The sequence below is a fragment of the Homo sapiens genome, chromosome 2 (genome assembly GCF_000001405.40).
Source record: "Homo sapiens chromosome 2, GRCh38.p14 Primary Assembly".
NCBI classification, from domain to species: domain Eukaryota; kingdom Metazoa; phylum Chordata; class Mammalia; order Primates; family Hominidae; genus Homo; species Homo sapiens.
The window spans coordinates 214,408,222-214,435,075 of record NC_000002.12 but is presented as its reverse complement, the minus strand read 5'-3'; the positions used below and the strand labels follow the sequence as shown (position 1 = coordinate 214,435,075).

Genomic DNA, 26,854 nt, shown 5'->3' with positions numbered 1-26,854 from the left:
CAGACTTGTCGAACTTTCCCCTTTCCTTGGTTAATTACAAATAAGTATTTTCACATAGCCTTCTGAAATGCAGCAAAGACTTGGACTGTATTTACTGCCAGTATGGGGGAAAAAGGAAGCCACTAATATAATCCCTTCCCCACAGCTAGCATTGTTTATTCTTTCTGGTTCCCTTCTTGTTGAAGGAAGGGCTGGTTTGTGCAACTCTAGTGGATTGATTCAGGGAATAAAAATTCTGAAGAGAATCCTAAATTTTCAAATGCAAAATGTTTACTTCAAAATAACTATAGTCTTTAAGAAAAATTTGTTGAACTATTAGATTCCCAACACTGATGAGGAAGACCATTCTAATTTAAACACTGGCATTATGCTAAGCAATTTTCCTATATCTACTTACTTAGTTTTTGTAATAATTCTATGAAGCAAGACTTGTTTTTATCTTTATCTCACAGATGAGGAAATGGGCTGAGAAAGGTTTAATAACTTTCCCAGGGCCTATGGTAGTAAGAGGCAAAGGCAGGATTTGAATCCAGTAGCCTAACTGCTATAATGGACTGCCACTTGGTAACAAGAATCACCATTCTGTGTACTGATGCTCCTGCTAAGAAAGAGAAGTCCATTAACTTGGGTGTTTGGTGCATGATGAGATTATTATGGAAACTTAGAGCTTTTTAACTTTCTACAAATGTGAGTTAGAAAACCGTAGTTGCCAAAGTTAGGTTGCCACAAGTGTTACATTCTTGGAGACCTCGACATCTTCAAGCTTTGGAACCTGGTAACTAGATGTGCAGGCATCTGGGAGAAGTGTTAACAGATAATAATCCAGTAAAGACCAATAAAGCATTGGAAACTGAGAAATATTCTGAGGAAGATCTAAGACCACAAGACTTAGTGATAAGACTATATTTGATTTTTTGAATAGGGTTTGAATAATGAAAAACATAAATGAGAAAAATAAAAACATCACATTAATCATTGGTGGCTTCTCACCCTGCCCTGAACTTGGCTTTATTTATGTACTGTACGCCATCCCTTTCTGACTCAGAATCTCTTATCATATGCATGTGATTTCCTCTTCTGTTTTCATTAAATTGTTTTTACAAATGGTCTGTCTCTATTTTAGTGCACTTTTTCTCATGTCAAGCCTCCTTGTGCCCCTCTGATCCCACTGTAAACACTCAATCAAATGTAACCCATTGACTTCAAGCTAGAACCCCTTTCCATCCTCTCCAGACTTGCCAAGCCTCTTTCCTTTCATCATCTTACAATTCCGGCACTATTGTTGTCCTCTTGCTCAACTTGACTTTCTCCATTGCTCCTGCCTGCCCCTGCATTTGTAAAAAGATACTGCTTGAACAGCAATAAGTTACTAGGAGTGTGCAGCATGCTACTTTGACATTAAGTTCAAACTTTAAAAATCCTTCCCATTTACAGTGTAAAACTCACGGTACTTTGGATAAATCTTTATATCTTAAGCATTGAGCTGGTTACAGATTTCCTTTTATTGGGTTGTTCCATGTGAAAACTATAGATGAAACCTGAAAATGTCCCTGTAAAACCAAAGTTTAAAGAATAAAGCTATCCTTAGAGAAACAGAGAATACTGAAAGAAGTACCCAGAAAAATTATTTCTACTAGCATTTTTTAAAGAAGAACATGTGAAATTATGAGTAGTACATGGCTTTTGCCAGCTAGAGATTTGTAAGTATGGTGATTGAATTATACCATCCTAAAATTTTATACAAGAAAACTCCTAAGAACCCTCACAGAACACTTTATTTCTGTGCACTCCTTAGAAAATAAAGTAACATTCACTCACTACTTTTTCATAAATTTTAGTTGAAATTAGGATTAGCGGTCAAATGTATTTGTTTATACATATATTTATATATAATATATATATATATATATATATATCAGGTGGCTTGAGCAGTTAATATATCTGTTTTAAATTTGTTATTTCTCCAGCTTAGTGTTTTTAAATAACTAATGTAGAACTCCATTTAAGCAATTTCTGCTATCTCTGAATACATACTTTTTTTTTTTTTTCTTCTTGAGATGGAGTCTTACTGTGTTGCCCAGACTGGAGTGCAGTGGCACAATCTTGGCTTACTGCAACCTCTGCCTCCTGGGTTTAAGTGATTCTCCTGCCTCAGCCTCCCAAATAGCTGGAATTACAGGTGCATGCCACCATGCCTGGCTAATTTTTGTACTTTTAGTAAAGACAGGGTCTTACCATGTTGGCCAGGCTGGTTTCTAACTCCTGACCTCAAATGATCCACCCACCTTGGCCTCCCAAAGTGCTAGGACTATAGGTGTGAGCCACTGTGCCTGGCCCTAAATGCATACCTTGTATGGCAATTCCAAATGCTGTCCCAGCTGGCCCTAGATTAGAAAGGGGTTTCCTGCTATACACAGTATAGTTAATAGAGCAAAATGAGACTCTTTCATAAATATTGGTTTAGGCAACTAAAATCACAATTGTTATTAGAAGCTTCAGATAAAGAGTAGTTGTGAATGGTGAAACTGGCCATTATAAATCAACAAGTAAAATGAAAGAATGAAAAGCAACGAACCCATTTTCTTTTCCTGAAGTCTCATCATCTAGGTGTCAACTCAAATGCCACCTCCCCAGGGAGGTATTCCCTGATGACTCAGGCCTTCCAGCCCCTTCATCTTCTCTGTCCATCATGTCAACCATTCAGAGCTCTCATCAGTCTGTGAAACTATCTTACTGATTTCTTTACATTTTTTTGGTAAATTTGCTCCTGTCCTCATAGATTCTAATCTCCTTATAATATACTGTTCATTGTTGTATTCTCAGCACCTAGAAGACATCTTAGCACATGACAGATACTCAACAAATATTTGTTAACTAAAATGCATAATCATTTATGTATAATCTATGTTTTCTTATTTGCTAAACCATATCTCTGGGCGGCTTCATCTGTGTTCATTATGCGTGAAAATGATTTTGAGTCAATGAGATGTTTGTATTTTATTTAAATATTATAATGGGCACTTTGGGGAAAAAGGTTTCCGACTGTGAGTCGTGAAATAACTATTTGGGTTCCAACATTATGGCAATGCACATAAACTCACCCTCTAAAGGTAATTTTAAATTCATAATATTCATCATGCAGATCACAGGTAAGTCAATCTTCAAGCACTCCATTGACTAGGTTATCTAGCAGTAGATGATTACAGACTTTTATTGCACTAGAAAATACTGTGCTAACTAAATTTGGACAAGAGTACATGCAGAGGAATTGCTAAAGGGTCTGAGAAAAAGCTAGTCTCATTTTATAATGTGTATCAATTTTAATGGTTGCTTATTAAGCACAACAATTTAGTATATTAGAAAATCTTTTTTCAGAACAAGTCCTGATTTTAAACATGTCCATTTCCCAAAAGGATGGGATAGAGTACAAAGCCCAACAACACACATTTTGAATATTCTGAAAACAACACGGGTTTCTTAGAAAGTTGTCTGTGAATACTGTTGAAAGCTGAAGGGACGGATACGCAAATAGATGGGATATATTCTAAGAGCCAAGTTTATACCTCCTAACCCTATAAATGGGTTTCCTTCTGATCAAGTGATATTAGGCTTCAGAGTCCAAGGGGTACTTCATTTCTTTCATAATAAGCAAAAATGATCAAAGAAAATCTTTGTTTACTTTTCAAAAAACTCCCCTTAAACAACTATTTAAAATCTAATCTTTTCCACAAAGGAAAAAATACAGCTTTTAGAAGCACTCTTCTTTTAGAGCTAATTTATGGCATAAATTTTATCACTTTAAGGAACAAATCTCATTACTTTCAAACTGTATGAAAATTTGGAAGACTCTATTTCAAAGTTGCTGATGCCTGTCAGGAATCTCACTGTTCACTTCATTAAAATATACATTAAATTACAAAGTGCAAAAGTATTTAGCATCCACTGCCACTCCCGTAGCCGGTAATTTGCATGCAACAGGTGTCACCTAATAATCAACTGATCCAATGGGTTTTAACCAAAATTCACAATTGTCTAAAAGATGACCCATAGCATCACTGATTAAAATGCTCCTAAGTGTTCCTGGTCTTATGAGATTGTGATGACCTCTTCAGCGATCTGCTCTATTGATTGGAGCATATTTGGAACACTGAGGTTGTAACTCATCAAATTATGGACATCAAGCTGAAACTTCTTTAAGAATTTTAATACTGAGGAAGCAAATAAAAAAAAGCAGATGCACAGAGTTTTTTAAAATAACCATCTCAGTTACTCAGCAAATGTATATCGTGGTATTATTATCTGCATTACGAGTTAAGTAGTAGCTGCCCTGGCTTTCTCTGGTGGAGTTTGTATTTTGATAATACATTCTGGAGTATATTTTTTCAGCATGTCTATCAAAAAACATTTCATTTTTGTTGAAAACATAAGCATTTTAGTGAAATGATTATGGAGTGCACATAGCTTTGCCCATGTAGATATAATAAACTAGGTAGGTAATAAACTACAATTCAGAAATATGATGTCTAATTTAAAAAAAAATTCAGCATATTCATTAAACATACATTGTATACAAAGTAGTGTATATAAGGTATATCGAGATGAACTATATATCTCTCCTACTCCAATAAATGCAATCTAGAAGAAGAGTTGAAATATTTGTAAACACATATTTTGATGTTTTTAAAAAACAAATACCTTTTCTGTAAGAATAACTGGCGGTACTACTATAATAGAAAACCTAGCCACTGGATTTAATCTTTGTATTTTTATTTGCATGCACTCTGAGCTAAAGTAAAATATTAGAAGATTGGAAAACAACTGATGAAGTACCCAATTGTAATTATTAATTATCAAGTAAAGTTTGCTCATTCTTGAAATTGCCATTGTTGCTACACAACAGTGACATTTTATCAATGTTCTATTTTTTTTTTTCCTAAAATTATTTTCTTCCTGGCCAGGCACGGTGGCTCACGCTTGTAATCCCAGCAATTTGGGAGGCCGAGGCAGGTGCAGCACACGAGGTCAGGATTTTGAGACTAGCCTGGCCAACATGGTGAAACCCCACCTGTACTAAAAATACAAAAATTAGCCAGGCGTGGTGGCAGGTGCCTGTAGTCCCAGCTACTCGGAAGGCTGAGGCAGTAGAATTGCTTGAACCCAGGAGGCGGAGGTTGCAGTGAGCCAAGATTGCGCCATTGCACTCCAGCCTGGACAACAGAGCAAGACTCCATTTCAAAAGAAAAATAATAATAAAAAATAAAATAAAATTTTTTTGGTAAAGTTTTAAAAATATACTTTAGTATATATTTAAGGGCAGGTAACCCTATAATTTTCTGCCTATACCAACAAACTGATGGTGTGAAGAACCGATATTTTTCCTCAACATTTTCAAGGAGTCTCATGACAATAAAATGCAGCTTTTTCCAAAATATGAAGAAAACATATAAATGTAAATTTTAAAAAATATAGGTAAGGAGAATGTAAGCAATAATATCTGTTTATTTGCAATCAAAGATGTATTTTTTTTAAAGTAGGCACAGTATGCTTATCAAGGAAATATCAGGGTATATTTAAGAGAGGAAAAAGATAATTTAGCTGCCTTTATGATAATCAAAGGAGGGCCCAGACATATAGACAAAAACTTGAGGATTTAATATAAAATCGAGGTTTTGATGAAGTATCACACCTATACTTGTGAAATACTCAGGAAAAGCAGCCGTCCTTAGTCCTTCACTGACAAGCTGGATTGACAGTTGGCTTTGGTATAAAAAACATTCTTGACAAAGCAACTGAGTACTGTAAGCAGAACCCATGTATTTTCATGCTGAAGGTGCTACATTTATCGCCCGTTTATGCAACAGGAAAAAAGTGAGCAACTGTGTAACTTCAAAACTTTTCTGTTGACACTGGAAAGGAGAGATTGTTGATATCAGACAAAGAATCAGTCATCTACAACAGCAATAAAGCAAGGTCACATATGGTTGGGGAAGAGTACATCACTAGGAGAATTCTACAGCCTGAAAGAATCATAGGAGATGAATATGACCTGGCCTATTCTGCAGAAAACATTGAAAGGAAGTGATAACAGAAAAGAGAAAGAGCCATAACTCAGCCTGCTAAACGTGTGTGGATGACACTGAATTTAAGACCTTTTAGGGTCTAAGGGATGGGAGTTATCACCCTGGAACAACCAAACCCATTTGTATTAGAAGTGCCAATCAGATTATTTCTCAGGAACTCCTTTTTTTTTTTTTTTTTTTTGCCACTGTCTGTGTGCAAAGATTTTCTAAAAATTGAAATTTTTTCTTCATTTTATATTTGCTGATGTCATACTTTGACAGGTTATGAAGAAAGAGTAATTAAAATATAATAATAACAAGTGCTTTATCACTGCTGGTATTGAAATATATTTCTAAAGTCCAAACAGTAATTTCCTACTGAATTTGATAGTTCATTATTTGATGCTTAGTTCATAGCTTATCTCATTCCACAAAAATATATTGAGATGGCTTATGGGCAGTAACATGAAAACATATTTTAATTTAAAAAATCTTGACTGAGTACTTTCTTGATAAACCTCTCTACTTTAGTGTATAACTTTGGGACAAGGTATGGCAGAAGCAGTGATAATTTTGTAACCATGTATAAAAATTGTTAGTGCTATCACCCAGTGGAACTTGGCTATATGATAATGTGAAATAAGCACATTTGCAGCTGAAATCCTGGCATGAAATATAGCTTGCTGTTCTACCTTGGACAGGTTACTTAAACCTCTTGAGCCTGGGTTTTTCGCTTGTAAGATGGAGCTAATAATAAAATATTAAGAGTGCTCTAATTTTCTCATTGGATTGTTTTGAGACTAAACTATATAATATGTGAAAGCACATGTAAACGATGTGGGATTGATTACATGACTATGATTGCCATCATAGCTTTCAACTTCGTCAGAGTTTCCTTCCCCACTCTTCGTCCATTTGCAATGGCTGTGTATTCCTCAAGGGAGCATATTAGTTATAACTTATTCTTATTAAATTACGGCATAATGATATTCATTGTGAATTATTTGAAATGTTGAATTTGTAAAACATACAGTCAGCCCTTCATATCCGTGGGTTTCATATCCATGGATTCAACCCACTGTGAATCAAAAATACTGTATTGGAAAGGAAATGGATGGTTTTCTGTACTAAACATTTACAGACTATTTTTCTTACCATTATTACTAAACAATACAGTATAATGAACTATTACACAGCATTTACATTGTATTTGAAATTATAAGTAATCTAGAAATAGTTTAAAGTGTATGGGAGAATGTGCATAGGCTATATGCGAATACTAATCCATTTTATGTAAGAAATTTGTATCTTACAGTTTTACAGAGTATTTGCAGATTTTGGTATTGGAGAGGATTTGGAACCAATCCTCTGTGTGTGTATACCCAGGGACAATTGTACATCTTTCAGAGTTTTGAAAGCAATCTGTGTTACATCTCTAAAACACAACAATGTTTGCACTCAAATTGTGGTTCGATTGAGAATGGCATTGGACAGTATTTTTAGATAGTTAATTGGATTCTTATTTACAGAGATGAAACTTCAATCTTTAATCAGATTCTTGCCAAAAACAGATTTTTAACAGGGTAACTTTAGCTCACAGTTTTTGGAGTCTTGATTTAAGTATCTTTTAGTTTCAATGTGAATGTCCTAGAGTCTCATTAACAAAAGAAAAATTCTCTGATTCTCCTTTTTGTCTCTAATGAAGCTTTCTACATCTCAGCAGTCAAAGGTTTGCAATTTTAGCAGGATTTTATTTTTAATGTTGGGGGAAAATTAAAGTTACACTGAACAATTTTGTTTTTTTCTCTGTCATATTTAGGAGAGAGCAATAAAGCTAACGTGTGAAAATAAGTGAAGTATTAGAGAGTGTGCATTTCTAAGACTGCAAGAATTATTAACAAGTTTTGCATTTTCTTTTTTAAAAATTTGTATTTCACTGATTTAGAATTTTGTTTTTAATCTCTAAATTGGCAAAAATAATCCTGGCCAATCCTCACTGCATTCAGAATGCAGTTTGTTTTTTAAATGGATAGGAATGTGCCTTAGAAGCATACTTCTTTTGACAGTGGGAGCTTTTTAAAATGAAACCAGTCAAGCCCTATAAAGCAGGGAAAGAATTTTCCTCATGTTAGCAATGTGCCACATTTCTGTGAAAAAGAGGTGACTAAACATGAAATAGACTTATAATTGAACACATTCAACAATATAGGAAATATATACACCCAAAATGAAAACTACACTATCTCTACCACATTACTTGCATAATGTTCATAGTGAATTAATCAAAGCTGGTAAGATATGAGAGAAAACCCTAGAGTTAGAGTTAGAAGACCTTTTTTGATTTGCCAAGTTTGATAATCTCCATTTATATGACAAGGACAAAGGCACAAATTTCTCTGAATCTTGGTTTTCTCATTTGTGAAATGGGAGTGAAAATATTTTAGGATTCAATAATTTAATAAGGAAATGCATGTGCAAGATACTTAATGAAATTGCCAACTATTATTGGTATTTGTTTTAGGCACAAATCTAGTTTTGTTGCTTCTTTGATCTAAGCCGTTTGGTGGCTGTCTACTCAGTTCAGACTTTGACCCAAGCTCCTTAGCCTAGCATTCATGCTGTGAATTGGTCCCATGCTCCCGCCTCACTCTTATTTCTAACTCTGTATACCCTTTGATCTTGTCACTCGGCTTGACACCATTTCTCTGAATAAGCTTTGCCTTTAGGTTTGCAAACGTTCCAATTTTGTCTAAACTGCTTTTAATGCATTGCAACCCCCACTCTTAGCATATCTTCCTTTAGTTCTTCAGACTGAATTACTTTTTTTTTTTTTTTTTTTTTTTTTGAGACGAAGCCTCACTCTATCACCCAGGCTGGTGTGCAATGGCCAGAACTCGGCTCACTGAAACTTCCACCTCCTGGGTTCAAGTGATTCTCCTGCCTCAGCCTCCAAAGTACCTGGGACTATGGGCACCCACCATCATGCCAGGCTAATCTTTGTATTTTTAGTAGAGATGGGGTTTCACCATGTTGGCCAGGCTGGTCTTGAACTCCTGACCTCAGGTGATCTGCCCGCCTCAGCCTCCCAAAGTGCTGGTTTTACAGGGGTGAGCCACCGTGCCCGATCTGAATTCTTTCTTCATCTGAGTTCCTAGAGCAGTCATCATAAGCTACTTATCATCAGTGGTACCTGTATTATTCCTTTAGATAGACTAGGCGCACCTTGAGGGTCAGATTTCTGTCTTCTATATTTTGGTATAGCCCACAAGATCTACCGCTTCTCTATATGAAAGGGATATTTATTTAATGGGATCAAACTGTGGATTGTGTATGTAAGCTGATTTTACAAATGCAATAATGGACTGAGTACCTAAGTAAGCAGAAATAATGTATACATGTTTTCACTTAATATAATCCTAAATATATCTATTATATTAAATTAAAGATAACTTTTTGACTTATCAAAAGAGAACACATGGGATATAAAAAGATAAAAAATTAATCTTTATCTGTTTTATTTGAGAATTTTCAGTGAATGGAAAATTATTAAGTTATGATACATCAGTGCAAAGAGCAAAGCTGTGCTCTTTTGAGTCAGGAATGCAGAGAAATAGGATTGAACATGCCTGCTGTTAAGTATGTATACATTTAAAATAGGCAAATCTACAGGCTTTTTGAAATTTACTTGTGTGAAAAGAGATCCCTGAGACCACGCACTGATTAAAGAGAACTGATATCCAGCAGTACCCAAACGGCTGTAACCTTCAAGAGTGCAAGTTAGAAGGATTTGGTGACAGCACAGTTTGAGAGAAGTAGAAAGGGAAGAATATCTGATTCCAGATTAGGCAAGGATCAGCAAACCTTCTCTATAGAAAGCCAAATAGTAAATATTTTAGATTTTGTGGGTCATACAGTGCCTGGAATATTCTAAAAGCAACCATAGACAATATGTAAGTGAATGAGCATGGCTGTGTTTTAATAAAGCTTTATTAATAAAATGGATTGTGAACTGGATCTGGCTCATGGAGCATAGTGTGTTGACCCTTGTCTTAGAGAATCCATTACTTGTAGTTGATATTACCACTATTTTTTAAAAGTCATTTTTCAACTAAATTGTCTTTTGTAACACAAATTAATACATTTCCATAAATAATCGCATTAAATACAATTTTGGGAACTTTACAAAGGACAAAATATTAAAAGATAAGCTGAGAAAAAATAGATTTTCATCATTAACTGCTCATAAAAGTCAAAGGAATTAGCCTATCTTGAATCATTAGAAAAATATTTCTTAAACTGTGTTTCATTGAACTTTTGTGAACTTTAAGATGTTAATAAGTGTTCTGAGAAAAAAAAGTGTTCTACTGTCACATAAATTTGTGAAATTCTGGATGAAATACAGTTTAGTATTAATAGTAATCGTAGTAAAAATATCAGGTAGCTTTTATAAATCACATGGTGCATGCCAAGTACTGTCTACTATTATCTCTCTTTTATAGATGTGTACATAGAGAAAGAGGTGAAGTAATGTGTGCCTAGGTCAGTTGGCTGGTAAGTGGTAGGGCCGGCTTTAAAATCCAATTTTCACCACACTTTTGAGCTCTCAGCTGTTGAACTATACGTACTAACTCTCAAACAAACCTAACTTTCAGTATGCTCAAGTAGTCTCAGTATACTAACGTGTACTGCTCATTTCCAAGAGAGGTTAAAGGATGCATCATTTCTCAAATTTATTTGACCATGAAAAATAACTGAAACCCTTATGAACAATCACACAGGATGCTAGCATTCCTTAGAAAACAATCTAGAAAAGGCTGAATTATAGCAGTGATTCCCAAACCCTACTGAGAATTATAATAATCTGAGAAACTTTAGAATAACATAGATTTAAATGATGTAAATTGGAATTTAAGATGGAAAGGTCAAGGAATCTGAATTTTTGCAACAGTCCTTCCTTAGGTGATATTGATCATCAGCCAGTTTAGAGATTTTTGTTGTTGTTGTTGTTCTAATGCCACAGAATTAGAGATTTTTGCATATACCATCTATTTTGCATACTCCATTCCTGCCATCTAGTGAGAGGTGAGAGTTTGCTAAGTGAAAAAAAAAATGGGTCCTCATTTTCTAAAACCATCAAAATACATGAGAAAGCACAGCTAATTTTGCTCCTTTGTTACATCCAAGTATAAAGTAGTCTCAGTGAAAATAAATGGGTAATGTTTAATGTAATATATTTTAATTTTATTTTGGCCTATATTGTTTGGTTTAATTACATAATTTTTCTGTTTTAGACAATGGGCCCCATTTTTATTACAGCCTTTGGAAACTTAGGCTAGTTTGACAAATTGTACTCAATCTGTATCAAAGACTGATTTTTGATGTGCCAGTATTTTATTGTTCTTGTCTACTTGTAACTCTGTGTTGTCATGGTGATAGGTCCTGATATCACATTTCTATAGACAATTGGCTGAGATAAATCATTGAATCCAACATATTTATTGGAAAAGAAGATGCAAATGAGCTGGTATTTTTCTGTTAAACCTGAAGGTAGTAAAATATAGAAAAAAGATCACAGGAAAGTGACATATTAATACTGCTTTTGCAAATAATGAGCTGTGCCATTATTTGGCACAATGGAAGTGTGTTATCACTAAGTTTCTGTTAGTCTTTCTTTTATCACCTCTAAAATAAGGGAGTCAGATAAAATAATTTCAAAGTTCTGTTTTAGATCTAAAATTCTATGGTCAGCGCTCAAAAGTAGAAAGGACCTAGACTATAAAAAAGAAACCATAATGCCTGCCTTTTTACAAACAGAAAAATTTATATAAATGCAGATACTAGAAATAAAATCCCAAACCAAGATGTAACAATGGTAGTGAAAGGTAAATACTAAAACAAAAATTATTTCAAAATCCCAACCCAATAATGTTTAATTAAAAAAAACCTTCTGAGCTTTGGTAATTGTTACAAATTGATATGTAATATTATAATCTTCAAATCTTCAATACTATTTATTCTTCATAAGATATATATGGTCTCATTATTGTATCAATTCTGTAGCCAGAATAAACGTATTTGAGTTTTGTTCATGGTTATGTGACATAATGGGAAAATTAAGAGTAGTGTTCAGTGCATGTTTATACCCTGTAGACAACTTTATACAGCCATAGAATAATGTCATCTGAAAACTTTTTCAGGAGCTGAATGATCTTTCTTGTCACTTTAGTACTTTATTCACTCTTTCCATGATGTCATTAAATCTTTGCAAAGATGGTTTATTGTGATATACTCTACAGCAGGCTAGAGGCAAGGAAATCAACAATGGAAGTGTGTTAGACTGAAATTACTGATGCTAATCAGTAGTGATGATAAAACCCAAAGTACAGACTCTAAAATAAGCCAGTTCCCAATTAATAATGCCTATTGTTTGAGAAAGCAAAGACATTGATCACTTCAACTCTCCTCTTAGTTATTTGTTTCAAACGCTTCCCTAAAAGACAACTAAAAAATACACCGATAGGTTTTTCTTGTGCTGTCCTTCATAAAACACAGTGCCTGATGTATAAATTAAGATGCAGGATAACAAAACAAAGTGAAAATATGTTCATGGGGATTAAGAAGAAGGAACAAAAAGATTTAATATCTTAAAACAAGATTTTCTTAAAGTAAGAACACTCTTGCTCCTTCCAGTTTAACACACACACACACACACACACAAATTAATGCATGTATGGAGCAATTAAAATCTAGATTATATAGGTTATAAATTAATCTGCAAAATTTGCCAAAGATATGTAGGCCTGTGTTATGAAATAAGATGTAGGAAATAGGCCGGGCGCGGTGGCTCACGCCTGTAATCCCAGCACTTTGGGAGGCCGAGACGGGCGGATCACGAGGTCAGGAGATCGAGACCATCCTGGCTAACACGGTGAAACCCCGTCTCTACTAAAAATACAAAAATTAGCCGGGCATGGTGGCACGCGCCTGTAATCCCAGCTACATGGGAGGCTGAGGCAGGAGAATGGCGTGAACCCGGGAGGCGGAGCTTGCAGAGTCGAGATCGCGCCACTGCACTCCAGCCTGGGCGACAGAGCGAAACTCCGTCTCAAAAAAAAAAAAAAAAAAAAAAAAGATGTAGGAAATAGAAAAAAATTATGCTTGTTAATATCACCCGATTAACCAATTCTGTCTTTTGGTGAGGAGAAACAATTAAAAATAGGCAATTTTTTTTAACATATCCAAAACCATGTACAGTTGGAGTTAAAATCTGGAAGGGAGACTACCAGGTCATTCTTTTTTTCAGCTTCATCTTCTCTCAATGTGGGTGAGTCAGTAAGGAATGGGCAATCATGTCTGTAAACTACTGATGACTGACCTCAAGTCTGGGGTAGTCACTAACAGTGACAAGCTCCGCAAATCTCAGATGTGGCTGCAAATCAACGCCGATCTCCCAATGTGCACACGGCACAGAAGCCCAGTCACAAATCTCGGTAGTCACGCTTGTCACACAGTTATCACCATTAACAGCAGCATCTTCCAATATGAAGGACAGCAATAAATATTGGTAAGTGAGTATGAAAAACTACTCCTATATATAACTAACAAAAGGGCTAGCTGACCATCAATTCTCTTAAAATGTAAAGTAAGAGACTGTAGTTCTGACTGTCAATGAGCTATTTCACTCCTTTGGGAATTAATTTGGAAGCCATTTATTCTTATAATTCTACTCTCTTTTAGAAAGTACTTAATATCAAAAGGATAACACTCAATTATCAATGCAATTTTTTAAGAAAAATTATTTTAAAAGTAGATTTTTTCCTAGATTTCATGTACTTCTGTGAGTGCAAAAAACTTTTAGTGTACTTTTGTGGGTGCAAAAAGTGTGCAGTGAACATTATAAATTTTTTAATAAAATTGACTTCTAATCTCTGGAATGAAATTACTCAAAGAGTATAAAAATTACGTAAAGGTTCCCCAGTTACTTACGAAGATGGGAATCCCCCATTGAGAATATCCACTTTGAACCCACTCATTCTGCATGCTGAGGCTGAGCCTCAGATAAGCAATTGTAAGGTCTCAATCACTGTTATTTTGTAGCAACTTGAAAGGGGAAGGCATTCCTTTTAACTCACTCAAAGCCATTTTAATGTTAAAAGCCACAACATGCTCTGCAAAACAGAAACTGCATTTTGCAGAGCCAATAATTATGGAATTAATCTTCTCAACCTCTCTACAAAGATCCCCAATTATCTTTGCCGCATAAAATCATGATGCTTTCTAGTTCTTTCTTGGGATAGTATCTTAAAAATGCCCCTGGTGACTCCACTACCCATTTGTTGAGAAATGAAAACCCTCTTTTGTATAAAACTCTTTAAAAACTGCACCTCTATTCTCATAATCCACTGATTTCTCTGTTATTAAAATAAATACAGGCTTCATACTTCATATATATGCTTTTTGTACTCCTTTGCCTTGTGTAAACATCTGACTTAGTTCCTGTGCTTTTCATAGACACTCGTGCAATGGCAGGTGGGTAAGTAGGCAAGGGGCAGTGAATTGTGCTGTGCAAAGTGTTACCTACCTGTTAGTCCCCTCAACTGAGATATCTCTACAGCCTCTGGTTTTCCCTGTTCTTTCATAAGTCTGGTCCTCAGCTCCTAGAACATGTTGCCTTCCATTTTCTTCTCCATATTAAAAAAACAACTAGACGTCAAATGACTCTCCCAAACCTGAATTCCAAAATTCTTCCCACTCAAACGTTTTTACAGATTTAATTTTACAATATTGGACATTAACAATGTGGCACCTATTAATGAGAAGGTTGAAATTTTTGTCTCTGTGTGAATATACCCATTAAAGGGCAAATCAATTCTAAATCCAAATTGGCATCAACAATTTTTATGAGTGTGATGACTTGGCAAAATAATCCCACGGCTTAATTTTCTTATTTCTTTTTTTGGAACAGAGTCTCCTTCTGTTGCCCAGGCTGGAGTGCAGTGGCGCAATCTCTGCTCACTGCAGCCTCCACCTCCCAGGTTCCAGCGATTCTCCTGCCTCAGCCTCCCGAGTAGCTGGGACTAGAGGTGCCCGCCACCACACCCAGCTAATTTTTGTATTTTTAGTAGAGGCAGGGTTTCACCATGTTGGCCAGGCGGGTCCCCTTTTATTCTCTTGAGATTTAAATATTAAGTATAAAATTCAGGGCAAAAACTTGGCATCCTGAAAACAGGCTCATTTTTATAAAAGCAACAACAAACCCATAAGACATTTGACTTGAAAAAATATTCACACCGCACCTTTCGAATATAGAATTCAGAGACCTGGTCCACTGTCTTTGGCCCATAGTGGGAAAAACACAAAGGTCAGTGTCAGCAGGGCACTGATCTTGGGCAAATCCAAATCCTGAATTAGGGACACTGGGAATTGGCTGCAGAAAATCACTTTAAAATAAAACAAGCTATGCAAAAGCTGAAAGGTTTCTTTCAGCTACATGTAGTATAACCTTCAGTGTATGACCTACAACTAAATCAGTACAAGTTCTAAAGTATAAGGAAATAGTCAAAAAAGCTAATTCTAGCAGAATCAGAGTTATAAAAATACTGAGCAAAATAAGAAATTATTTCTTCCTTTGAGAAACTCAGCATTAAGATAGTTAAGCCTACATTTCCAATAAACTTTTTCTGGTAGAAACTGCTATTATAATGTATTATTTATATGCTTTATTTCTCAAAAAGTAGGTTCCAGTGTCATATTGCCGGGGTGCACATAAAAGAAAGATGAGAGAACCTACTATACAGTGACCTTTATCTTAATACAATATTACCAGAACCCTGGAGAATTTAGAGTTTTCAAAAAGAATAGAGAGAAATTCATTTTCAAAGCTTGCATCAGTAAATGAAATAAAAACCCCACAAAAATCCCACAACCTTTATAAATGACATCAGTTTTCCTATCAGGTGACACATGTGGATCAATTTACATTTGAATTTGGTGATCAGAAAATATTGAAGTGTGACCTATGATTTGCAACTGCATAGGGTGAGACAGTACAGCTAAAACACTGGGTAGTCATTGCGATGCTGGGATGGAGACAGAATCCAAGACAACCCTTGGTGAGGAAGGGGTTGAGAGAGGAAGAAAGTAAAGGCAGGACGAAAATAGGCAGTCTTATCATAAGAGAACAATGTGTGCCATTTTAACTGCCCAAAGAGCATTTTTTGTCTCAACTTTCAGTGCTTCTTTAATTAAAATGAAGAGATCAACACATAAACAGAAACTAAATCATTCTAAAGAAATTCTAACTTCTTTATCCTATAGGTTTGATTACAATTTGACCTGGTATGCTATTCATCAAAAAAGGTATTAAATGACTGTTACATAGCTCACACGGTGTTGGGAATAGAGGGGAAAAGAAAAAAGAAAACAGTGTCGCTAGCCTCGAAGGGTTCAATGACTAATGGAAGAGACGAGTGGTTTCATATGATATTATTTCATATTATATTTTACATGATTTAATATTATTGCAGTGTGATGTATTACATTATTGCTGTGGGGTAGATCACTAGAAGTGGTGAGGAGCTTAGATTCTGCAGTCAAGCTGCCTGGCTTGGAGTCCTACTTTTTCCTCTTTCCAGCTGTATGGTCTTGGACAAGTTACTTACACTCTGCTGCTTCAGTTTTCTTATCCGTAAAACAGTGCTAATAAAAGTATAATTCTCACAGTGTTATTGTAAAATAAAATGTGTTATAATATACATAAAGCTCTTCACAGTATCAGACAACAGTTACTGTTCTTGTAGTGATGGTGTGTATAGCAGGCCGTGGGAACATACGGAAGGAGTGATACAGTGTGGGAGATATGAGGTAGGACAGACAGAGAGGGGTTTCCAGTTGAGGTGAGATTTAAATGGAGCCTTGAAGTGGTCCAGTAGGATTTAAACAGGGAGCAATGTTGAAAAAGTGTTCCATACTGTGGAACAGCAGTGCAAACACACAGGGAAAAAAAGCCACCAAGAGTTTGAGGGATTTGGAGAGGTTGATGAGTAGAATCTAGGCTACAGCAGGGAAATTAGATTTTACCCTGAAAACTGTCCTGAATGTCTTTGTGCTTGTGCACCTCATTCTCTTTTTTTCTGCAACAGACTTCCTTCCTCCACTATTAATTTCTCTTTACTTCTATTCAATTCTGTGCTTGGATATAGGACATTCATTTTTATTTATGTTTAACTAGGTCATCTATGTACAGAACAATCCGCATTTTATTTCCTATTATTCTTCAGATGAATCTAAATATTTTGGCCCAGTATTCAAGGCCCTTCCATCCACTCTCCACCGACACATATCTGAATTTGCCTCTTACTAGGATAGCATTTTAGTCATATCTAGCTTCCAATTATACCCATCTCCCTCCTCTTTGCAGACTGTATTCATCCCAATCTCTGATTTTGCTCTGGCAGTTTCGTCTTTGGAATTTCAGTCTTCCCAGATCAATTTCAAGTACTTCTTGAAGAACAGGCAGCTCTACAAGATGTATAGGGTTAGCATCCTGAAGACAAATCTCTTGCTTAACCAAGCCTCATACTATTTTGATAAGCTTCTGCCATCACAATCTCTTGGGAGTTATATTGGGATTTCATAATCATATACTTAACTTTTACCTGCTTTTTCCCCCTTCTCTCTTCACATCGATCATGTCTTTCTTGTGAGCAGAGATTTTGGTTTCTAGATATCCTACTTTCAATTGTAAGTACGTCTACAGTATCTTATCTACTGAACGGTCTGATAAATGCTTGTTGGATGAATATATTTATGTGAAGATTATCTCATAATACAACCTCCCTAATTGACATATCAACATTATTATATGAAAGTTTTATGCATCTTTAATAATTAATGACTTGTTCCTTGCAAGCTGAGTTGGAAGAGAATCAAGATGACAGATTATGGCTAATATTTACTTAGAGTTGTATGGTTCATAGGGATAAGTAGAGCATTTTAAAAAGGTATGAGAATTCTTCATTTGAAAGTCTTTTAAAGTTGAACTTTCATTATAAAATGTAGGCAAAGCCATAGAGGAATTTAGAATTTAGAGTAAATCCCTGGATATTAGAGTTAAGAAGGAGGGGACAATCATTTATTTAATACCTATTGTGTACCCGTCATCACAAGGTTAGTGACTTCAGAGAAATTATATGTTATTAAGAATTTCCAACCTCTCCTCCTAAGGAAAGTGATTATTACAATGGCTATTTTATGGTCAATACCACTATGGATCAAAAAGTTTAAGAACTCCATTCAAAAATTTATATCCAAGTGATGAATTTGGGATTCGAATCCAAGTCTATCTGACCTTAGTGACAAACTGCTTTGAGAGATCATATAGTATGTTAGAATGGCAGCATTTAGAATTAAGATAAATAACTTGACAATTTTGGATAAGTAATTTATACTTTTTTGGTCTCAGTTTCTCATTCTGACACATTTGCCCTATATAGTCTCTAAAACTCTTTATGACTCTAAATTCTTGTTAAAAAAAGTGATATCTATTATTTTAAAAATCACATCAAAAATTTTATGACACAAAAAGCCAGGTGAAAAAGCTGTGCATATTAATGGATCATACATTAGGAAAGAAGTAGTAGGGATTAATTAGATTATAGTAGGGTTATAACGAGAAGGGGTACAGAAATTATTAACTTTTTCTTTAAATACCTCTATATTGTTTGACATGGTAACATAGTTATTATCTTTGTAGTAAAATCTAATAAATAGAGGGAAAACTATAGCATTTTCAATAGTGAGTTAAGTTAGACAATATTTTCTTTATTAAATACAGATTACCAAATTATATAAATCTCAGAAACTTATGTTTTTATTTGTGCTAGTTATGAAACGCTGTTCCTACAATACCCTTTTGTATTCTAGTCTAGATATAAATGCAGGTTAGAAAAGGGTGATATGACTGCTAGAATCAAGTGTGTTGAGTACTTCTACTTACTTCCATTAAGATGACATTAAAAATAGGTAATGTCAAAATATATACAATATTTTAGAGATCATAAAACCATTAATAAATGTACTCTACTCTCAACTATTATTTGGTGTCAACAATGATACTTTTACTAGACTCTCATGCTTTTACTTCTTAATTTTGTGCAATAAAATAATACACGAAAGACAAAAGTCGAGAATAACATGTCTAAGGAAGTTGAATGTCACAATTAAAATTTCCCTTTTGTCCTAAGGAATCTAGTTCCAATGACTGGGTATTCTTGGGTAAATCAGAACTGGCTTGAACCGCTAACCTGGTTCATTCCAGGTTAATAATGAACTAAATACAATTAACTATGAATACACAGATTATGCTAATGATGATCAGTTGAGACCTTTTTTCTACATACTGATTTCTGGCACCATTTGACCCTTGTGGTGAGAGAAGTTGGGTCAGTGCTAATAATGGAAATGTCTTCTCTCATACATAAACACCCACACTGAAAACTAGCTATATCTGCTTTTACCTCTAAGGTTCTGAGCACCTCATCACAGAACTTGGTTAGATGAAATGGGAACATTTTATATAAAGCCATCAGTATGACAGACACTCCAGGCACAAACTGCCATTACATTTAAGGTGGACATTTTTCATGTATTCATACCTTCAGGGTTCAGATCAGGCTTGTAGGATATCCCAATTAAAACTAGCCATTGGGGAAAAGAAAGTTCAATAAGGGATAAAAATGAACTCTAAGCTACTTTGAAAATATGACGCAAGCGTAAAAGAAAAACTAAAAAATACCAGGTAGGCTGAAAAAAATTACAGTCTTTTTTACTACTCTTTACATGGATTGTGATAAAAATTCAGTTCTCTGTGGAATCCTGAAAGCAAAAAATCCAGCGAGCAGAGAACAGAATGGGGATCTTGCTTGACCACAAGTAGGCCCAATGCATTTTCTTAATATGAGGACCACAGCTAAGAAGTATATCTCTGTAGCTTTTCCACACAATAAACAAATAATTCTAGACTATATTGTTAAATGACTTCAAATACAGGCTAATAAGCAACACACAAAACTGACACAATTAAAAAATTAATTTAGGAGACACATACACTATACACAAAATTGTTCCCATCAGAAAACATATTTTGTAATAACAGAGAAGAAATGTTTAAGGGCAAAAATAAAAGGTGTTAGGTATGCCCCAAATACTTCTGGGAAAAAAAATAAAGGTTATTGTGCAACTTAACAAATATGATCAACAAACCAGTTGGCCATTTGTTGACCATGGTGCTACTTATGGTAATTAGAATCAAATTGTATAATTTAAAGGGAAATTTTAAAGTACATTTTTCCAACTCTGACTTTAATGTAGCAATGTACTAAGCACGTGGTATGAAAAGTTGATATTTCAATAAATATGGAGGGTAACGCATACCTTAAATTCCTCCAAGATTTTGTAATTTTTCCCGTGATATTCACAGAAGTTTTTTACTTCTTTGCACTCAGGACAGCATCCATTGTGTTCCACTTTAGTACACTTTGGGTGAATTTTAGGGCATTCTGGTTGGTCGCAAACAGGTCCATCTAGAGCACAGACACATGGACAGTTGGAATGCCCAGGGAAAAATCGTTCTCCCAACTTGTATACAAAGCCGCTGTCATCGACACACCCTTTCCCTCGATAGTCATCAAAGATCAGATTGTCATTACTGGAGATCTGGTCACCTTCATCAGCAGGATAGTCTTCATGACTGATAGCAGCAGAGGTGACCAATCCAGGGATGACCAACAGAAGTATGCAAGCTTCATGAATATGAAGAGCCATCCCCCTCTTCAAAGACTTCTGGATGTGCTCCTAATATTAAATATACTCAGCTCCTTCCATGGGAATACAAGAGGGGTAGGCTGAAAATAAATATTTAAAAAGAATAATTTGACATATATAAAGTGAAGATAGATTCATTTAAGCCCACGCTCTTAAACTGTTTGGGATCAATTTGAAGATACTAAGTCCTCAAATAGACTAAGTTCATGCAACTATCTGTGCCTTATTGTGAGGTTTGGAGAGTTGATACTTGGCAATATATGCATTAAAATTTGTCCTTTTGGATTATTTTATATAGGAACCTTCAGCTTGAATTTTCCTTCTGAATTTCATAGGTCTGGCTTTATCTAAATTGCAAAGAAATGGTTTTACTGAGCCCCAAAATGTGATCCAAGGAGTAACTTACAAATAGCTCAAGAATATTTGAACTCACATTTTCTATTATTCTTTAAACTGGACTAGTCAGTGATGGAACATATGTTATAATTATCTGTGTCAACTCAAGAGATTAGTGAGAAAAAAATCTAATTCTAAAGGAAAGGGAATAAACCAACAGTTGAATATAAATTATATTTAGGAAGGAGCTACTATAAAGGATTTCCTACTTATTTATGCCCATAATTAAAGAACAACAATGGCGTCAACATCAGTTACCTGTTTAAGTGAATGTGAGTCTGGATTTTTGAAATAAAGTTGATAACAAAAACAACATAACTATTCCATAGTGATTAAGAGAAAGAAAATTTGAAATAATAAATAATACAAGAGAATTCCATGTGCTTAAAAGAGTTTGTTAAAAACAAATTTATTTGTATTATTGTCCACATTATTTTACATAGGAAGGAAGCTCCTAGTGGGCAGGAAAGATCTATCTATAAATTTACTTCACAGTAACTTGAATCTAGTATATATGTAATATTATTTAAATTAAAATTTGCAATATAATATAAATACAATTTATGAGATCTTGAAAACATAACTCTTGAAATGTCAAAAATATTTACATGTACAAAATCTGCACAAAGATGCCAGCATAAAATTCTTTATGGAAGTTGCTTAAAACTGTAATTAAGTGTTAACCATTCATAGAAAATATGCCTTATTAATTTTGTGACACTGACTCTTGTAAACTCCACTTAGTATTGGTGCTTGATGTGAAGTGTTGGGAGTGGGCTCTTATTTAAATATTTAGAATAACTAAATCACACAGAGGCTCTGGGGAGACTGTGACTTTAGGGAGTAATAAATAAGAAAAAGTATTGTCAAATAGCTCATTTTTTTATTTAAATGCTATTGGCTTCATGCCAATAACACTAAGATGGTATACAGGACATTTTCAGGTCAGTTATAAATGTTATACATTGGTTTATTTTCAGATTATATTAAGAGCAATGATAAACCATCTCTTTTCAGTCTAACATATACAGACGATAACAAGATAAAGATGACATTAGGAAACTTCATAAACTATTATATTTGCATTTTAAGGTAGATATACAAGTTCTAGTAATAGTAAAATGGAAGGTAGTATGCCCTCTTTCTGGAGAAAGCTGATATCAGAATTACTCTGATATCCTCTGATATTAGAATTCCCTTTGGGTAGGTAATAAAGCCGATGATTTCTTATAAAATATGTCAAAAATAATAAGTCATGACAGAACAAGAAAATGCAAACCTATAATTCTACTTGAGAATCTGGAAGCTCCCTTTGACAAAGCATTTTTTTCTCTCAAATTACTACAGAGATAACAAACATAACAGAAGCTTCTGAAAAAGCATAAATATAATTTACTAATTAAAGCAAGCATTTATACATCACATATTTAGAAAGTTTATCTTGGAGGAAAAGAAAGCTACTGTGCTTCCTTATAATATTCCAGCAATATCTGTCAATGCATGCAAGATAAGCCATATAAAATACACATATGATTCTGCTTCAAAGGGACATAGGCAGAAAATGATCTCTTTGTAAGCCACAGGTAGGCATTAATGTGTTAGGTTATGGTAAATGTAAACTTAGAGGTAAAAATAGGAATGTAATATCTACTTTATATAAACATTAAATATGTTTTTATTATATGAAATATATCTTAAAATCTGCATGGTAAAAAACAAGATTTTATTTTCAATATAACAAAGTTCTTAGGCTATTTTTTTTTTAAAAAAAAGCCTTCATAATTGAGCTGCCCTAGTACAATTTAAGATACTATTTAAGAGAAGAAACATGGGATAAATCAAATGTAATGTTTATCTGAAGATTTTTAAAAAGAAAGCAAACACTGCTAAACTGAGGATCACTTCCCAGCTTAATTTTCCCCCCCTCCCCATATTGCTACAGATGATTTAAAATGACTGCATCTATTTCTTTGAGAAAACAAACATAATTCATGTCATAAGATACACTTACCTAATCACTCTGGAGGTTAATGGTGGTGGTAGGGGTCACAGCCCAAAATGAACTAAAAGGTCAGGTATGTTTTAAGAAAGCAGTTCCTCTTTAATTACCCAAAGAATACATTTTTTAGGCATGAATTAAAGGCAATCCATTCTCTCTACCTCCCATTTCAAAACACAGTAAAGAAGCAGTCTCCCGCCCTTCCAGAAAGAAACACAGCAGACACATATAAGAAATTTGCTTTGGACCTGTCTTCAGAATTCAAAGCAAGAAGCAAAGCTGGTCCTGTAGAAATCCAGACCCCAGTAGCAGAATCATGTTGAACTTATTTTTAGCATTTTCTTAGATCCTTCTATGAAATTTCCCGGCTGATTACGCCTCCTCCACACATGAGTTCACTTACACAGTGTTTGCTACGGCAGTAGAGGTGATTTGGCTAGGCTCTGAGGATCACAAACAGCAACAGCATGCTGTAGCTTAAAGCCCACTCCGCTGGCAATACCATCACCATCGTCCACAGTGTGTTGCTTGAATCCCCTCTTACACACCGGAAAATACTAACTGTGGATGTGAAGGAAAGGAGCAACTTTAGCTGGGTTTCTGCATCAGTAAGAGCAGTTTGCAGATTGCTGATTTGGAGCTCATTCTGCCGGCAGCCGGGAATTCCTCAGCACCACGGACAGCGCCAACAACTGGCTTCTGAGCCCAGCTCTGTCGAAATCCCAGAGCTGCTTTAGACGAGGCTAGAGTGCTCTCCAAGCAGTCGCACTTTATACAGCGGATGCGCGCATTAGGAGGGGTAAAGACATTCTACGTGCGAGATATTTATTTGCATTGAAATTGCAATTAATTTTTTTTGTATAAAATTGTATACCTAACGCGTTCTTGGATGGGCTGCAGAGATGAAAGTTCCAGAAGAGGCTTGCATTTAGATTTAAGCCATCTGCAGTCCCCAATTATTATTAATAGATAAAGCATAATCATTGTCAAACAATCTGTGAAAACGTATGCTTGTCGATTCTATTTGACCCTTTGGTGGCAGAAAGACTTCCCTGGTGCTGCATGATTAAACTTCAGGTCTTCCTGCAGCTTGGATCTGATTTTTTTTTTTTTTTTTTAAAGTAGCCAGGTTTTCCTGCAGTTTGTTCTCTAACATTAAAAATCAATCTCCTGTAATTCATCTAGTCTGTCATTAGGCGTCATTGTAAAGCTGTTTCTTTCAAAACCCCTAGCAAAGATGCCGTGTCTCTAAATTCTTATCAAAATGAGAGAGAAAAAAGACCCTGACACAAATGGGTGAGCATAAAGTTATTTTTTTATTAGTAACAGTATGAGCACTAAAATATATGTCCAAAGCATGTTTTAAAGCAGACTGTAAATGTTACCTGCTGGCACATTTAACCAGTTCTTTGCTGGTTTGGGACTACAGGAGGCATTTTCAAGCCTTAAAGGGAATGCCCTCTGCAGCGGGATGTGCTGACGGTCAAGACCACGTTCGAACTGTGCCGTCAGAGCCTCCAGAAAAGAGAATCTCCCCGTCGTGAGAAAACACAACCGTGTGTGCCTCGTTTTCGTGGCCCATCAATTTGTGAATCTCCCCAGATTTAAGATCTAGCAAATGGATAACACCATTGCCACTTGCCTGAGCTAAAACTCGACCTGAGGGAGACAGAGAGGAGAGAGAGAGAGAATGAATCAAAGTTTTATTTCAAGTGTTCACAGTTTATAAGCAATGAAGCATTCTATTTTTTTCAATTATCATTCTGTGTTAGGGGTCAGTTATTAAATATGCAGTAGCTCCTGTAGGTATAAGAAATAAGTTGAGTCAAAATTAAGACACATCAATAATTAGGTTATAAAATTTTCTAATTGGGACATAGAGCCTAATGGTCTACCTCCTTTATATGCAGATTTCATCAAACATCCTACTATTCTTTTATATTTGTGATTAATAAAGCATTTCGAGGAGATGAGATTGAAAGCAACTATGCAAGGCAACTTTCTTTTTCAAATAAATTATATGTTAGAAAGTTTTAAAAGGCATAGCTTTCAAAATTTATGGAAAACATTTGTATTCTTCTTTAAACTTATTTATAATAATTATGCTAATCATTACTTACAACTCAATATACATTCCTGCTTTAAAAATTGTGATACTCATGAACTCAACAAATTTTTTTGAAGCTGAAGTGGAAATAAATACTTCCATTTCAAAATGACTTGAGAGTTTTTACTCTAGCTTAGAATTCAAATTTTGATAAATTAAATTTTTTTTACATAAGATGGCTAAATACAGCACAGGGTATTTGCATAATTTTTGTATCATATATTTTTTAGTGGCTCATTTCCTCAAAGTGAAAACAAATCAGGGATCCAATTTTAATTAATATTTTTATTAAGGAAGTCCAGTAACAAACTATCATGGGACTTGGAGTTAAGTAAAACAATAGGATATGTTTACATAAGCTCAGTACTTAGTGTAAATAAGTATGACATTAGTACTATCCATGGGATTATTTAATCATACTTAGAAGGCATATTATTGTTTCAGTAATAACATTTAAAATTTATTAAACTCTTTTAATGTGATAGATACTATATTTAGTGCTTGATATGGATAATTCCGTATGATCCTTATATTTAGTGCTTGATATGGATAATTCTGAATGATCGTTACAGTAATCTAATGATAAAGAAAATAGCATTAACTATTTAATATTTTAAATAGTTAGTACTAATAGTAGTAACTAATATTTTAAATAGTACTAACAGTATTAACTATTTAATATATTAGTTAGTATTAATAGTATTAACTATTTAATATTTTAAATAGTACTATTTATCTGTATTTTAAATAGTTAGTACTATTTAAAAATGCTTAAATATCTGTTATGTAAAAAATGCCTCCTCTATGTAGGTGAAGAAATAGAGGCTTGGAAAGGCGAAGTAACTTGCTCATAATGACACCCTAGGTATAGAAGGAGCTAGCATTTAATCACAGCACTTCGAATCCAGAGCCTGGGCTTTTAGCCATTGCTTTCCACAGCCAGCATAGCATTGTTATCAATGATGCCTTCTTGACAGATTTTAGGTAAGTGATATATTGTGAAAATAGCATTGGTCCATTTTATAATAAGAATTCTAGAATTATATCACCATAAAAGCTATAGTGAAATATTTAATCACAAATTTTACCCCCAAACATCATGAATACCTCTAAAACAGAGAAAAGTTATAAAAGTAAAGCTAACCATGATAAATACAACCTATTTGCAAACCTTTATAACTACTGGGCTTCTTCATCTAGAACAAAACCTGACACAGCAAAGATCCTTAGGATGGATTAGAGTGTCCAAAGCAGCAGATGTGAATATTTATTATAAACCATTTTCTACTAAGTCTTTGCTGACAGAGGCATTACATATGGATTTCACTTCCAACCTCACTCTATAGGCAATTGCTGTTTGTGACTTTCCCAAATAACTTTTTTTCTTGTAGTCTTTATACAACAGCTGAAAAGTGGGGTAAACACTGATTTCTATTTGTGAAACCAAACAAAACGAAACAGAACCAAGTC

General features: G+C 34.7%; 2 protein-coding genes across 14 annotated transcripts in view; both read right to left on the bottom strand.

The window, feature by feature from the left end:
• Nucleotides 1–24,022, bottom strand: part of VWC2L (von Willebrand factor C domain containing 2 like) — a 167,923-nt gene extending 143,901 nt beyond the window's left edge. For all 3 annotated transcript variants that reach the window (NR_159945.1, NM_001080500.4, NM_001345929.2), the window contains exons 1-2: nt 23,290–24,022; nt 20,493–20,962 (exon numbers count right to left, since the gene is read on the bottom strand). Coding sequence is in view for 2 of the 3 variants with exons in the window: in NM_001080500.4 (NP_001073969.1) it covers nt 20,493–20,882 (390 nt within the window). In the remaining variant the exon portion in view is untranslated. The remainder of the gene's footprint in view (nt 1–20,492; nt 20,963–23,289) is intronic.
• Nucleotides 24,023–24,574: 552 nt separating this feature from the next.
• The window catches only part of SPAG16 (sperm associated antigen 16), a 1,126,038-nt gene continuing 1,123,758 nt past the window's right edge, over nt 24,575–26,854 (bottom strand). For all 11 annotated transcript variants that reach the window (NR_047659.2, NR_047660.2, XM_011511814.2 and 8 more), the window contains one exon: nt 24,575–24,936. Coding sequence is in view for 9 of the 11 variants with exons in the window: in XM_011511814.2 (XP_011510116.1) it covers nt 24,761–24,936 (176 nt within the window). In the remaining 2 variants the exon portion in view is untranslated. The remainder of the gene's footprint in view (nt 24,937–26,854) is intronic.